The sequence below is a fragment of the Homo sapiens genome, chromosome 5 (genome assembly GCF_000001405.40).
Source record: "Homo sapiens chromosome 5, GRCh38.p14 Primary Assembly".
In the NCBI taxonomy this organism is placed as follows: domain Eukaryota; kingdom Metazoa; phylum Chordata; class Mammalia; order Primates; family Hominidae; genus Homo; species Homo sapiens.
Genome location: NC_000005.10, coordinates 123,447,028 through 123,462,738, shown reverse-complemented (window position 1 = coordinate 123,462,738; position 15,711 = coordinate 123,447,028). Strand labels below are relative to the sequence as shown.

The 15,711-nt window shown below is 37.7% G+C and overlaps 1 annotated feature.

Annotated features, from left to right (window-relative positions):
- Positions 14,394 to 14,503: a silencer, noted in NCBI's record as "silent region_16274". NCBI's record gives its function as "represses an Ori minimal core promoter by ATAC-STARR-seq in GM12878 lymphoblastoid cells {active_cell/tissue: GM12878}" and the evidence as "EXISTENCE:reporter gene assay evidence [ECO:0000049][PMID:35858748]".

Below are 15,711 nucleotides of genomic sequence, written 5' to 3'. Positions count from 1 at the left end.
AATCCATCTCAGTGAGAAATAGGCAGATGCCTAGAGCATATAACAATTTTGTGCATACAGGACATTGTGTTAAAAGTGACTAATGACAATTAACAGTTAAAAATAGATACTCACCTAGAACACCTATACAATACACACATTACATTTCTAAAGGGCTTAACAATTAAATGCATTCAATGCTAAAACTACCTGGACCATAATCTCGTATTCGAGACCTTGTAAGCTCTTCATTATGAACATTATTTACTGTAGATATTTGGAAGTGTCACAAGATAGAATGCCTGGGCAGACATGCTTTTGTGTTACATACACTATAAATGTATGGTACAAACTATAAATCAGGTTGACTTCTCATTTTTCAAGTGAGAGTGAATTATCACTTCAGCCTGGTAATTGGTATATTATGTGAGCTAGTTGATTTTTTAAACTTTAAAGGTAGTATGTAATGACACATGCACAAAAATTTATAATATATTTCAGCTTGCCTGAAGTCAAACTTCAGACATTAAACACACGGAATCAATGCACTACTATAAATAGAGAATAGTAGATAGCATTTTATTTGGTCTTTAGAAGATCAGTGTGAAGGAAGTTTGGGCAAAACAGCAAGTGTTTAAACGGAAAACAGTGTGACAGGGATTATGGCAGGGTTGCAGCATTGGCAATTAGCTAATGTCAATGATACACTTAAGAAACACTGTGCAAGACAGCTAATAAATCACAGCCAACCATCATTAATAATCCATGACAGAAGGGAAAAGAGAAAGAAAGGAAAGAGAAGAAAAAGGTAGAGGAGAGTGCTCTGTAGTGGGCTACACAGTAAAAATGAAGTGTGCTATAATTAGAATTATTTCTATTACCAGAGGACCCAGGAAAGGCTTTCTAGTGAACAATTCAACAAATAACCAGGGGGTTGATAAGCATATTGCTAAGTTATGAGTTTTTCACGTCTTCCATTTCATTTTAATTGTGTGCATGTGAGTATGTGTGCCTTTTAAAGTCATGGTACCAGATGACTTTATAATAAAAGGCACACATAGATATAAGGGAGTTAATTTTGACTTCCTACATGTTTCTAAAAATATTATAATTCCAAACAAAAAGGTAGGTAATATATTGCCATATAGTCTCTTTTGGAACTTCTTAACTGGACAATTTGCCAGCAGCAACATATAATAACCACTGGACTCAGAAAATAGTACCCCAAAAGGAAGGCCTCAGAAGCAAAGTTTTTCTCTGATCTGCCCTCCTATCTCTCACTCTCGTTTTCCCCCAAGGCTAGCCAAAGAAATTAGGATCCCTCTTCCCTGAGGTGAGTCATAGAAACCAGAATCCCTTCCCTCAGAGCCAGCTATAAAATCTAAAAATATTATAACTTTCTCACCCTGCTCGTAAAAACTGGCCATATCAGGAGTTCGAGACCAGCCTGGCCAATATGGCAAAACCCTGTCTCTACTAAAAATACAAAAATTAGCTGGGCATAGTGGTGCATATCTGTAATCCCAGCTACTCAGGAGGCTGAGGCAAGAAAATCGCTTGAACCCAGGAGGTGGAGGTTGCAGTGAGCCGAGACCTCACCACTGCACTCCAGCCTGGGTGACAGATGGCAGAGTGAGACTCTGTCTCAAAAAAAAAAAAAAAAAAAAAATAGACTAGTCATAGGGAAATTATCTGACCTACTTTGTTTGAATATAGGTCATAAGAGTCCCATTCCTGAGAGGGTCTCACCCCTCACTCAGAAGGAAGGAATACATGATCAGAGAGGCCAAAAAGAATCTAGACAGACAGGCCATGCTGGGCTTCCCCCCTTAGCCTATTAACATTAGATCTTACCCTTTTGTCCAATCATATTTTTACACAGCTTCCGTACTTTGTTGAACCCAAGCATGAAAATGGACAATTTCCCCTCTATCTTTGGGTTTTCATTCTGAAGGCTCTCATGTCAAGTAAAACTATGATCAAATAAATTTGTACACCTTTCCTCTTAGTAATCTGCCTCTTGTCAGTGATTTTCAGCAAACCTTCAGAGGGTGAAGGGAAGCTTTCCTTTGGCTCTGACATAACCATTACTTGAAGTTTACCCATATACAGATAACTTTACACTCTTCTCATATCCATTTAATGTTTCCAGTCAATGTTATTACCTGTATCTTAACAATTATGCCAGAGTTCACAGTGAGAAGTGCAGCATGCTAATTTTTAAACACTGACTAGGCTATTAAACTGGCAGTTATGATGTGGTGTGATAAGGGGAATGCCAGGGAAAGTAGGAGGTGCTATCGTCAAGGCATGACTTCAAAGGTCAAGGAAAGCTTCCTGCAGTGACGCATAATAGGAGACCTGAAGGGCTTGTAAGAAGTAAACAGGCAAAGATAGAAGAGGATTGGGGTGGAGAATATGATTCAAGCAGAGGGAGTGTCATGTGCAAACCCCAAAAGTAAGAAGGAGTATAGCAAGATGGAAAATGGAAAAGAATTTAATCTAAAGTGATAGATTTTGAGGTATGAGTGGTGATAGATAAATCTAGAGAGGTAAATTGAGACCTAATTAATCACAGAGTTTTGAGGCCAGTGACAAGGCAGTACAGAGTTTAAGCAGGGAAATGGCATGATCAGGTCTGGAGCAATTACAGTGATCCAGATAGGCTATGATAAAGATTTTTTTTTTTTTTTTTGAGATGGAGTCTTGCTCTGTTGCCAGGCTGGAGTGCAGTGGCACGGTCTCGGCTCACTGCAACCTCCGCCTCCTGGGTTCAAGCGATTCTCCTGCCTCAGCCTCCCAAGTAGCTGGGATTACAGGCAGGTGCCACCACACCCGGCTAATTTTTGTATTTTTAGTAGAGATGGGGTTTCACCATGTTAGCCAGGCTGGTCTTGAACTCCTGACCTCGTGATCTGCCCACCTCGGCCTCCCAAAGTGATGGGATTACAGGCGTGAGCCACCGCGCCCGGCCAAGCTATGATAAAGATTTTAAGCACTAGTTGTAGTGGCCTTAGATGATGGTTACATAGAGTTATTGAAGGGTATAGAAAGAGGTTGGAGGCAGAATTCACAATAATTACTATTCATTATTGAATTACAAATTCTTAGAGGAATTTCAGATTATTATTTTACCCCCATGTATGTAGCACAGAATAAATATTCAACAAATACGTGTCAAATTAATTAAGAAATAAAACAAATTCAACCAAATTTATTTTTCTTCTTTTATTTTATTTTATTTTATTATTATTATACTTTAAGTTTTAGGGTACATGTGCACAATGTGCAGGTTAGTTACATATGTATACATGTGCCATGCTGGTGTGCTGCACCCATTAACTCGTCATTTAGCATTAGGTATATCTCCTAATGCTATCCCTCCCCCCTCCCCCCACCCCACAACAGTCCCCAGAGTGTGATGTTCCCCTTCCTGTGTCCATGTGTTCTCATTGTTCAATTTCCACCTATGAGTGAGAACATGCGGTGTTTGGTTTTTTGTCCTTGCGACAGTTTACTGAGAGTGATGATTTCCAATTTCATCCATGTCCCTACAAAGGACATGAACTCATCCTTTTTTATGGCTGCATAGTATTCCATGGTGTATATGTGCCACATTTTCTTAATCCAGTGTATCATTGTTGGACATTTGGGTTGGTTCCAAGTCTTTGCTATTGTGAATAGTGCCGCAGTATACATACGTGTGCATGTGTCTTTATAGCAGCATGATTTATAATCCTTTGGGTATATACCCAGTAATGGGATGGCTGGGTCAAATGGTATTTCTAGTTCTAGATCCCTGAGGAATCACCACACTGACTTCCACAATGGTTGAACTAGTTTACAGTCCCACCAACAGTGTAAAAGTGTCCCTATTTCTCCACATCCTCTCCAGCACCTGTTGTTTCCTGACTTTTTAATGATTGCCATTCTAACTGGTATGAGATGGTATCTCATTGTGGTTTTGATTTGCATTTCTCTGATGGCCAGTGATGGTGAGCATTTTTTTATGTGTTTTTTGACTGCATAAATGTCTTCTTTTGAGAAGTATCTGTTCGTGTCCTTCTCCCACTTGTTGATGGGGTTGTTTGTTTTTTTCTTGTAAATTTGTTTGAGTTCATTGTAGATTCTGGATATTAGCCCTTTGTCAGATGAGTAGGTTGCAAAAATTTTCTCCCATTCTGTAGGTTGCCTGTTCACTCTGATGGTAGTTTCTTTTGCTGTGCAGAAGCTCTTTAATTTAATTAGATCCCATTTGTCAATTTTGGCTTTTGTTGCCATTGCTTTTGGTGTTTTAGACATGAAGTCCTTGCCCATGCCTGTGTCCTGAATGGTAATGCCTAGGTTTTCTTCTAGGGTTTTTATGGTTTTAGGTCTAACATTTAAGTCTTTAATCCATCTTGAATTAATTTTTGTATAAAGTGTAAGGAAGGGATCATTTCAGCTTTCTACATAAGGCTAGCCAGTTTTCTCAGCACCATTTATTAAATAGGGAATGCTTTCCCCATTGCTTCTTTTTCTCAGGTTTGTCAAAGATCAGATAGCTGTAGATACGTGGTGTTATTTCTGAGGGCTCTGTTCTGTTCCATTGATCTATATTTCTGTTTTGGTACCAGTACCATGCTGTTTTGGTTACTGTAGCCTTGTAGTATAGTTTGAAGTCAGGTAATGTGATGCCTCCAGCTTTGTTCTTTTGGCTTAGGATTGACTTGGTGATGCGGGCTCTTTTTTGGTTCCATATGAACTTTAAAGTAGTTTTTTCCAATTCTGTGAAGAAAGTCATTGGTAGCTTGATGGGGATGGCATTGAATCTATAAATTACCTTGGACAGTATGGCCATTTTTATGATATTGATTCTTCCTACCCATGAGCATGGAATGTTCTTCCATTTGTTTGTATCCTCTTTTATTTCATTGAGCAGTGGTTTGTAGTTCTCCTTGAAGAGGTCCTTCATGTCCCTTGTAAGTTGGATTCCTAGGTATTTTATTCTCTTTGAAGCAATTGTGAATGGGACTTCACTCATGATTTGGCTCTCTGTTTATCTGTTATTGGTGTATAAGAATGCTTGTGATTTTTGCACATTGATTGTGTATCCTGAGACTTTGCTGAAGTTGCTTATCAGCTTAAGGAGATTTTGGGCTGAGACGATGAGGTTTTCTAGATATACAATCATGTCATCTGCAAACAGGGACAATTTGACTTCCTCTTTTCCTAATTGAATATCCTTTATTTCCTTCTCCTGCCTAATTGCCCTGGTCAGAACTTCCAACATTATGTTGAATAGGAGTGGTGAGAGAGGGCATCCCTGTCTTGTGCCAGTTTTCAAAGGGAATGCTTCCAGTTTTTGCCCATTCAATATGATATTGGCTGTGGGTTTGTCATAGATAGCTCTTATTATTTTGAGATATGTCCCATCAATACGTAATTTATTGAGAGTTTTTAGCATGAAGCGTTGTTGAATTTTGTCAAAGGCCTTTTCTACATCTATTGAGATAATCATGTGGTTTTTGTCTTTGGTTCTGTTTATATGCTGGATTACATTTATTGATTTGCGTATATTGAACCAGCTTTGCATCCCAGGGATGAAGCCCACTTGATCATCCAAATTTATTTTTCTTTGCAACGTAACTTAGGAGAGGTGTTCTCATCTCCATTAACATTGGCAATGCCTGGAGTGGTGGCTTTTTTTGGTTTTTGTTTCCATTGAGCTGCCCTAACTTGAGAAAGAGAAATTACTGTTCCAAAATGTTTATTATGGAAATTTTAAAACATATAGAAAGGTTGAAAGAATACCAAAATAAATAACCCACCACCTTGTTAATAATTTGCAATAGTTCCTTTGTGTGTGTGTGTATATACATTTGAAAGTTACAGACATCACACTTCACCTCTAAATATTTCAGCTGTAATTTCTAAGAAGATGGGATATTTTCATATAAAACTATAATAGCATTATGGTCCCTAAGAAATAGAACAGTAATTTGCACATATAATAGTAATTCCAAAATATAACACTAATTTACCTAATATAATCATTTTCAAATTTCTCCAATCATCCCAAAAATGTCTTTACAATTTTTAAAATAAGGATTTAATCAAGATTCACAGATGTGCTTGGTTGTTTAGTCTCTGGAAATGAGAGCTTTCTGAGTAAAGAATAAAAGTTTAGAATTATTTGACCTGGGACAAAAGTGCTGAGAATCCCTTAATATTTGATAGACAGTATTGTGAAACCAGGTTTATTTCCTAATTGGAAATGCTTTCTTTCTCTTTAGCCACTAGTTCAGTTGGCAAGTGCTTTGTATTTATGAGTCTTAGGTCAAAGATTCACTCTCCATGTGATTTTCCTCTTACTTTATGGAGAATATCTGTCCACGTGATCATACATTGTACTCCATGCCCTGGGTAAGCACCTGATAAAAAAAAAAAATTGGCCTTTGGTCACAGGCAGGAACTGAATAAGTGTATATAGATTATTAGGTGAAAATCTAGTACACCTTTGGTGGAAAAAAACCCTCAATAAATAATAAGTTATTAATTTGGTGGGACATCTTCAAATACAAAATAACCCATTGGCTTAAGTGCATGCTTGCATCATGGGGTAATTTGCACAGTGCTTCCAGTTGAGTCTGTGACTGGGAACAAAGGATAAGCTGAGATAAATGACAAGCAAAGTTGGACATCACTCTCTCCCATGGCACTTGCCAAATAATCAAAATGTAGAAAATATTAAGTACAAATATCTGAGCCTATTTTCTAGGAATAATATTTGTCCTCCTTTCACTTCCCTTTCCCTCTCCCCATCCTTCCTCTTTAATTGAAATGCCAATAGGAATTTGACAGTGATGGACACCCTAGTGGCCTCATAATGAAGTTTGCAGATCGGGTGCAATATCTCCACTTCTAGTTGCACAAGACTGAAAAATGGTTATAATTATCCTTCTTTGCATATGTTCAAGCACAGTATGGTATTGCAGGGTGCTGTCTCTTAAAATTGTGAAACTGCAAGTCATGGTGTTTTCAGAAGACTCGGTGAATATTGGTTTATACCTTTTAGTTCCTAACTACTTGAAGCTTCCCTGTGAGCTGTATCAGAGAGGATGGATAACCAAAACAGAAACATTTGAACTCTCTGAATAACTGGGGTAATTCCTTTATGAGCTTTCTTTTTCCTTTTAAAATTTGAAAATAATATATACCATCCTATATCACACACTCTGGTTTTATGTTAAAACAAGCAACCTGATTTTTCAATGCATATTAAATATAAATATTTGCAAAGGAATATTAGTGATAATGATGATGGGGCAGTCGTGATGGTTTTGGAAAGTTTGTATGTGAACAATAGACCTTTCCATTTATATATATATATATATATATATATATCACTTTCTGGTTTCAGGCTGCTACTGCTATTTATAGTCTACCCTTGATGGTAAGCAGATGTCTCTACTCTTAATCTCTTTCCGTAGCCTTTGTTTCAGGCAAGCTGGCTCATTTCTAATTGTTCCACACTGGGCTAATCCATCCCTTTTGCTTACAATATGCTTGAATGGCACATGGTTAGATGCTGCTACAACGCAGATATTAGGGAATCCCTACATAGTGCATTCTGTGAACATTCCCTGCTCATTGGCATTACATAAAAATGCCCATTATTGAAATGCAGAGATAAATAGGGTTCCAGAACCAAGTGACTACTAGTGCTTCAGGACCTTACTATTTTCTATTAAAGTTGATTCAGAGATAAAGCTCACAAAACTGGAAACACCACCAGATGGGACATCAACTGGAGGTTAGATGTACTTCAGGATATATTAGCAACTGTAATCACAAATTGTTCAGCTATATATTCATAGTAGAAAAGATTATTAGTGGATCAGGGATTCCTAATCATCAGAGTGTGTGGCAGATTAATGTGAAGAGAAGGTTTACAGCCAGGCTTCAGATTATTGTGTACAGCCTGCAGCCAACTGTATCTCTACTATGCCTGTAGTAACAGTGGGTATACATACTTGTGCATATAAACATGACTCATCAGAAATGTCCTGCAGAAAAAAAAAAAATAGTTCGCCATTCCTCACTACTTGTAAACCTACATTTTTCCCTTAGAGTTTCATGTAGATTAATTTCCTTTTCTGTCTACCATTCTAACTCTCAAAGAAAAAGCCTTCTAGGAAATATAAATCAGTGGGTTGCCTCAACTGACATAACACTGAATTGAGAACTTTATCAATAGTTGATATTATGGAGACATTTAGTACTTTTGAGGGAAAGTTGTTTAAGGAAGTAGATACCCATGGGACTATCTTACTAGCACTGCATGCATTTCAGGCTTTTACTGTGCTCAATCAGTAATGTGTTAAAATCACAAAAGCATATGGAAAGCTTTACTTTGTTTAGGAAATATGTTTACTGAATACAGTGCAGGCATATACAGTTGCCCAAAAGGGAAAACTAAGAGGAGATTCTGTTTGCTGATTGCTTAAAGGGGGTTTCAGGATTTTATTAGCATCTTTATGTAACCAGGAAAGGGGAATCAGAGTCCTGGACTGAGCCTAAAGTAAGATTTAAGCCCATTCAAACATGTCTGAGGAACTTTTAAGCAGGACTTTCATGAGTCCATTTGCCAGAGAGTTGCTCTTTGAAAAACGGGAGAGGTAGGGAGGTTTTGTGCCTCAGGTATCCCTGTTTCATAGCCAGGGCCCCAAGCGTGAAGTTTAAAGAGAAAGGCGTAGTAGGCATGAAGCATCGAAGCAAATTCCCTAAAGCACTCAAGGGAGTAGAATGTGGCATCAAGAGGCAGGAGGCTAAGTATTCCCTTCCCTTCTGGGTGGAAAAGACCTTGGCTTTGGTACAGTAAGACTCCTGGAAATCCAATGTTGGGAGCATCTAGGGGAGGCACCCTGGTGTGGCTAGACATTAGCCTTGTCACAGGACCAGCAGCAGGGGAGGTAAAACGTACCCTCAGGTAGCTTAGGCAGGATCTGAGTTTTTGTAAGCCCATGAAAACCTTAAATGGGGAATCCAGACATATATTGGTAAGACTTTAAGTGGGGCAGAATTCCTGAAATCACAGGCAGGGGAATGAACCAGTGTTCTCCCCTCAATATTAGCCTATGTGCAATAATGACCACAGACAACATTTCTTCTGAGCATCTTACAAGTCCTAAATCATCGCCTTTCTAAGTTGGATACTATTATTATCTTAAGGGTTTTTTTTTAGATGATAAAACTGAGACGCAGAAAAGTTAAATGACTTACCTAAGGTGACACAGTAATAAATATAGAGCCCAAAATCAGACCCACCCAGACAATCTGACCCCAGACTTCTCTCTTTACCCCTTTACTATACTGCCTTGCAGTATTAAACACACTGGTCTGAGATCAATCAGGTTACCTATGTGACTTTCTATTTTCTTTCAGGAACATCGTCCAACCCTTATAAATCTAAGTAAACATTAGAAACTGTTTATATTATGATAAATTAATTAGCATTGAAAGTTTTCTCTTTTTTTTTTTTCCCAAGACGCAGTCTCGCTCTGTTGCCTAGGCTAGAGTGCAGTGGTACCATCTCGGCTTACTGCAACCTCTACCTTCCGGGTTCAAGCGATTCTCTTGCCTCAGCCTCCCAAGTAGCTGGTAATAAAGGAGCCTGCCACCACGCCTGGCTAATTTTTTGTGTGTTTTTAGTAGAGATGGGGTTTCTCCATGTTGGCCAGGCTGGTTTCAAACTCCTGACCTCAAGTGATCTGCCCGCCTTGGCCTACCAAAGTGTTGGGATTATAGGCAAGAGCCACCACGCCTATGCATTGCCTAGCCAAAAGTTGTCTAAGTATCATTGGATTTGCAGGAAAAATGGCACTTTAGAATTATTTATTAATTTGACAACTGTATCTAAACACTCATGAATAGCTGTCAAATTAGTGAAGGTAAAAAATGCAAAAAGAGTAGTTGAGGAAGCTTGGTATATGGAATGGACATGGAATGAGCAAAACCTAGTTCAATTTTGACTCTTTTGGCCACATATTTTACTATACTTACATTAATTTCCTTAATGAGAAGCTCTGAATCTAGTAGATGACAACAAAGGAAAGAGCTCCAAAAACATCGCCGGAAACATGCAGGGTTCATAGTAATCAGCTACTTAGAGAAGCATAGAGAGGAAGTAGAATAGGGCACGGAGGGGAGCCTTCCTCTCTTTTAATCATTCTATGTTGTGAAAGCAGATGCATTATAGATTAAAGATCGTGTTTGCATCTAATAGGAGAAGGGTCTGGCTTGACTGTTAGGAGAGGTAGAAAAGCTTTTTAAACATAGCATTTTGATTTGTTTTTTTTAGTTATGGTCTTTGAGAATTCAGCCTGTCAGGGTTTGAGACCTTTTCCTTCAACCTTTTCGTCTGGGTTGTATTCTGTTTAAGTTTTTACTCCAGGCTGAAGGAACCTGGAATCAAGAGTAAATTTACATTTCTTTCTGGCTTCCTGTGATAGGCAAAGGAGGAAAGGATCAGGGCCCCAAAACACTGTCTGGGATTAAACGCTGTATTAAGTTTGGGCCCAGCTCACAGGTACCTAAGGGGAGAGATCGGGAGGGACATACATCCTGGTAACTTTGCAGTGTATTTGTTGGTTACCGTATATTAAGGGCCAAATTTCTGAGTTTCACTTATAAAATGATGATAGCACTGTATATCCTACTTACTTCCCAGAATTGTTTCCAAGATTAAATAAGATGATATACATGTAAGTTTTTAGAAAACTATGTAGATTATTTTAAATTAGTAAGTAATTATTCTTTAAACTATATATTTGTGTGCTATGGCTTTTCCATTAGTAGTTATGATTATCTTAATATAATAGGATTCTTTATTAATCACAAAAGCAGCGATTTTATAATATCTTTTGAAAGTAAGTATATTATACTACAATTTGTGCTCTGTAGTCTTATTCAAGTTGAATGACTTTTCATTTATATATTTTTTATTCTTTCCTAAATTTTGAGTGCCTTGAATTCAGGGAGTATTGGATTCATCTTTATTCCCAAGCTTCCGTCACTCAATAAAAGTATGTGACCCAGATGAGTGAATATGCAACCAATCAGTGATTCATAGTCACCAAGGTACATATGTGAAGAAAATGTGATAAAATTTTCATCAAGTGAAAAATGTAGATTGTTAAATAATTTTTGAGAGAATAGAAGTGTTGGATTATTTGTTAAATGACTATACTAAATGTCTTCAGTTCTGGTTTAATGTGTTTGGAGGTTCATAAATTCTTTCAGGCTACTAGGATGCCCTTTTAGTTAAGATAAAACCCTATTTTACTAATGGTACCCTAGTGACCTCTGGACATTAGTGAAAACTGCCTAATTTATGCCTGTGGCTAACTCGTTTATCAAATAAAGTCCCACCCAGAATACAGACATAAAGAGAAGCAGGGTTTAGATCACTCCAGGGGCAACTGAGCATCTGTTCAGTGCCCCAGGAGGCAAGATATTGAAAAACATATTTGAGAATGAAGAGATGTAGGGCCCTAATCCTGACTCTGCCACCAAACAGCTGTGCGACCTCAGCTAATCAAGCCTGTTTTCTAATCTTGAAACTCGCAGTGGATCTCAACCACTACTAATTTACCACAAATATATATATGTAGCATAGATGGCAGGCCTGAGTTTTTTGAACAAATTTTAAGACATTATTATAATGAAAGGAAGCACAAAACTCATAAAATTTTGTGTTTGCATTTTGTTGTTGTTTACTGTTTTTTTCTGTTATGGTGAGACCCAGGAGTTTGGTGGATTTATACCATATAAGAGGTTGAAAACCAGTGGAACTGAATGATTCCTACTACATGTTCCACACTAAGGTTCTGTGAGTCTAGTTAATCACTGAGTGTTTGTATGAAAGGAAACAAAGCTGGCCATGAGCCAGAATTTGTTCTAGTTGTCAAGCCAAAGCCTGCCCCTCAAAATAATGAGCTTTTAAAGTGGCTAAAACTGTTTTTATTCTTACAGTGAGCAGCTTGCTTATAATAAAAGGATAGCAGACTTCAAGAGTGTTCTATTCCCTACAAATCTAATATCCACATCAAATGAATCTGCCATAGACAATTATAGTTGCAAAAATTAGAAATGATTGTCATAATTTTTCCCTTAGAGTTTAACCACATATGACAGGGAATTTTTTTCAAAGTTATCTGCTGTATTTTAAAAAGCCAACAATTTTCTTATTCTGTGTAAAATGCAAAATTTCTTTCTAAAAAAATTAAATGAGACAAAATTATTGTTTTCTTCATCTCATTGAAGAAGAGAAAACAAGACAGTATGTTCCAATTAGCATAAATACACAACAGATATTTTCTGCTGCAGACTTAGATCTCTGATAGGAGACATTATGTCTGGTACAAGTTATCAGGAAAGGATCGAAAGTATTTTGTAGCATGACATAAACAAAGGCACAAAAAGCAGAAGGGAAAAGAAAACTGTAGCTACCACAGCAACAATGAAACAGCATAACATTTTACTAACCTTTCAAAATTTTCAAGATTCAGGAGTGACTCAAAAGCAGTGAGTTATTTTACAGAGCTAAAATCAGAATCAGAACACTTTTAACAGTTCTAAAGGAGAGAAAAATAGAAACCAAATAATCATTATGAAAACTTGCAATGATTAAAATAATTAGAAATATTAACGGGAAAAAGGAGTATGTGAAAGGACATGAATTGAAAACAAATGTATATGTGCCATTATATATTACCACAAATCCGCCTTTACCTCCAAGTAGACTAGCCTAGGTAATAGATTTATCTAGCTCTAATTTATATGAACTGGATCATGGAAGGATAAGATTTCTAGAAGAAAGTCATTAATCTATTAGTCAGTGTTTTCAGAACTGAGAACTGTTGCAATATGTATATACTGGTTGGGAGACAATTCTCCGTGGGTCTTTCACATTTATGCACATATTGTGACTGCCCTTTTTTGTGGATAATCTCAAGGGTGTTTGTATAGTGAATGGACTTGGCAAATGGAGAAAGTGTTGCGCTTCTGAACAAAGGTTTGCTTACAGCCTTAGAAGATAGAGACAGTGTCAAGCCTCTGGGGCAATGGACAGGCATGCCTAATATCCAGTATAACAAAGAGAATATCTCATTCCAAAGCAAAGGGCAGGCATGCTCACTGCCCATTGTAAAAGATTCTGGCTCTCTAAGTTCAGGTTCCTTTCCTGGAACACAACCAACAGTGTGTTACAGCTGTCATCTGCCCCATTTGTGTTGTCCTGTAAGAGTTGGGGCTCAGAGAACCAGCACAAAAATTCTGACACTGGCTCCTGCTATCTTTCATCTCTGGTCCAGGAATCTTGTCTTTTTTTCAGCATCCATGAAACTGTGGCAGCATAACTTGTAAGCCAGAAAGCAGGGTAAAAATCTCAGAACCTTCACAGTTCTTGACAACACTGACATTTGTAATTAACATCATGGTCTCTTCTCTGGAGTTCTAGTAAATAGAAACATTTCATGTGTTTAAAATGGATAATTTTTCAGAATGTATAAACAGTAGTTTTACTGTCATATGGAGAGGAGATACAGAGGTATGTACACAATTTGATCACCCCAATAAGCCCTTAGAAGTACCAGTACTTGCATATCTAGAAATTCTGATTGTCTGGGTCCTTAGAGTTGATACAGCCTAGGGACTAACAAAACTCATATGAGATCGATAAATAGTTCATAATGCCTGTGCGTTCATTTACATCAAAAAATATAATCTCCGGCCAGGTGCGGTGACTCATGCCTGTACTCCCAGCATTTTGGGAGGCCAAGGCAGGCAGTTTGCTTGAGCCCAAGAGGTCGAGACATGCCTGGGCAACATGGCAAATCCCTGCCTCTACAAAAAAATATATAAAAATTAGCCAAGCATGGGGTTGCATGCCTGTAGTACCAGCTCCATGGGAGGCTGAGGTGGGAGGATCACTTGAGCCTGGGAAGTCGAGGCTGCAGTGAGCCATGATCATGCCACTGTGCTCCAGCCTGGACATCAGAGCAAGACCCTGGTCTCAAGAAAAAAATACATAATTTCCAAGTGTATCAGAAGTTTGCCAGAAAAAGAACAAGTAAGTGCAACTCTTACATGCAAATCAAATGTAACAATTAAAGAGATAAATGCTCTCAATGATTAGTCTCACCAAGTCTGGTTACATGCATGACCACTCAGTCCAGGTTGATTATTCATATCACTTCGTCAATGTGCTCCCTTTTCTGAGTAATGCTGAATAACCACAAATTTTACTTTGGAAGATGTTCTTTTTCCAAAAATCCATACAGATCATTCCCTCCCTATAAATACCTATTTTCTTCAGACAGAGAGCAATTCCACTGATTAAGTTTTAGCTTTCATTGTCACAATTTCTTTCTAGTAATTTAATTTCATTGAAGATACAACCTTTGTACTTTGGCCAGACTCGGTTGTTCCCAAACCTCTTCTGCTACTCATTTAGAGATAATAAAATGTCTAGTTTCACTAGTTGTGTTTTCACTTTCAAGTTCGTTCTGACTTTCTTAAGCTTACATTCTAAAAACATGAAATCAGCCATAGATTATGTGGTTTTCATTCTTTTGTTTTCAAGGTGTGGTTCCCAGGCCACTATCATTGGCATCACCTGGGAACCTATTAGAACTGCAGCCTCTGGTTCTCCACCCTAAACCTATTGAATCTGAAATTCTGGAGGAGGAACCCAGTAACCTCTGGTTTAATGTGCCTGCAGCTGATTCTAAGGCATGCTAAAGAGCCACCATATTAGTTAAATCTCACTAGATGACTAAAGTGAATTTGTCTAGAGGGCTGTTGAAATTATTGAAAAATATGTAATCTGCTTAATTAAAAACAATATGGTCATTGACTGGAAATATTTTGTTGTGTATGAAAAATCTGTTAATCATGTTAATATTTGCTATCATTGGGAGAAGCTGGATGGACAATGCATAGTACCTCTCTGTACTATTTTTATTATTTATTTATTTAGAGACAGGTCTTACTCTGTTGTCCAGGCTGGACTGCAGTGACACAATCTTGGTTCACTGCAGCCTCAACCTCCAGGACTCAAACAATTCTTCCACCTCAGTCTCCCGAGTAAGCAGGATTACAGGTGCATGCCACCATACCAGGCTTTTGCTTTTTTTTTTTTTTTTTTTTTGCAGAGATGGGGTCTCACATGTTGCATAGCCTGGTCTTGAACTTCTGGGCTGAAGTGATCTACCCACCTCTGCCTCCCAAAATGCTGGGATTACAGGTGTGAACCACCATGCCTTACCTGTACTATTTTTATAACTTGTTGTGAGTCTATAATTATTTCAAAATTAAAAATTAAAAAACCTTTAAAATATATTTTTATTATTAAGGGAATTTGCTTTCATATAGGAAGAATTAAGGTAGCCTCGTGGCACATAAATGAGAAAACAAAGATGTTCACCTATGCTATCTGTGTTTTACTGAAATCTCCCTTATGCTTTTTTTCATCCTATCAGTGAGAGGGAAAGTGAGAAACACATCAGTTCTAAAGATCCAATGTCTACTTGGGCACTATATGACAAACCAAAAACAAGTTGATATTCCCCCCAAATTAAAAAAATTGCAGAATATGTAATTATATTCACAAAAAGTTTTGTAATTAATAAATATCAGAGTTTAATTCACATAAGTATAGGTGTTAAGTTTTACAGATTTTCAACAGGA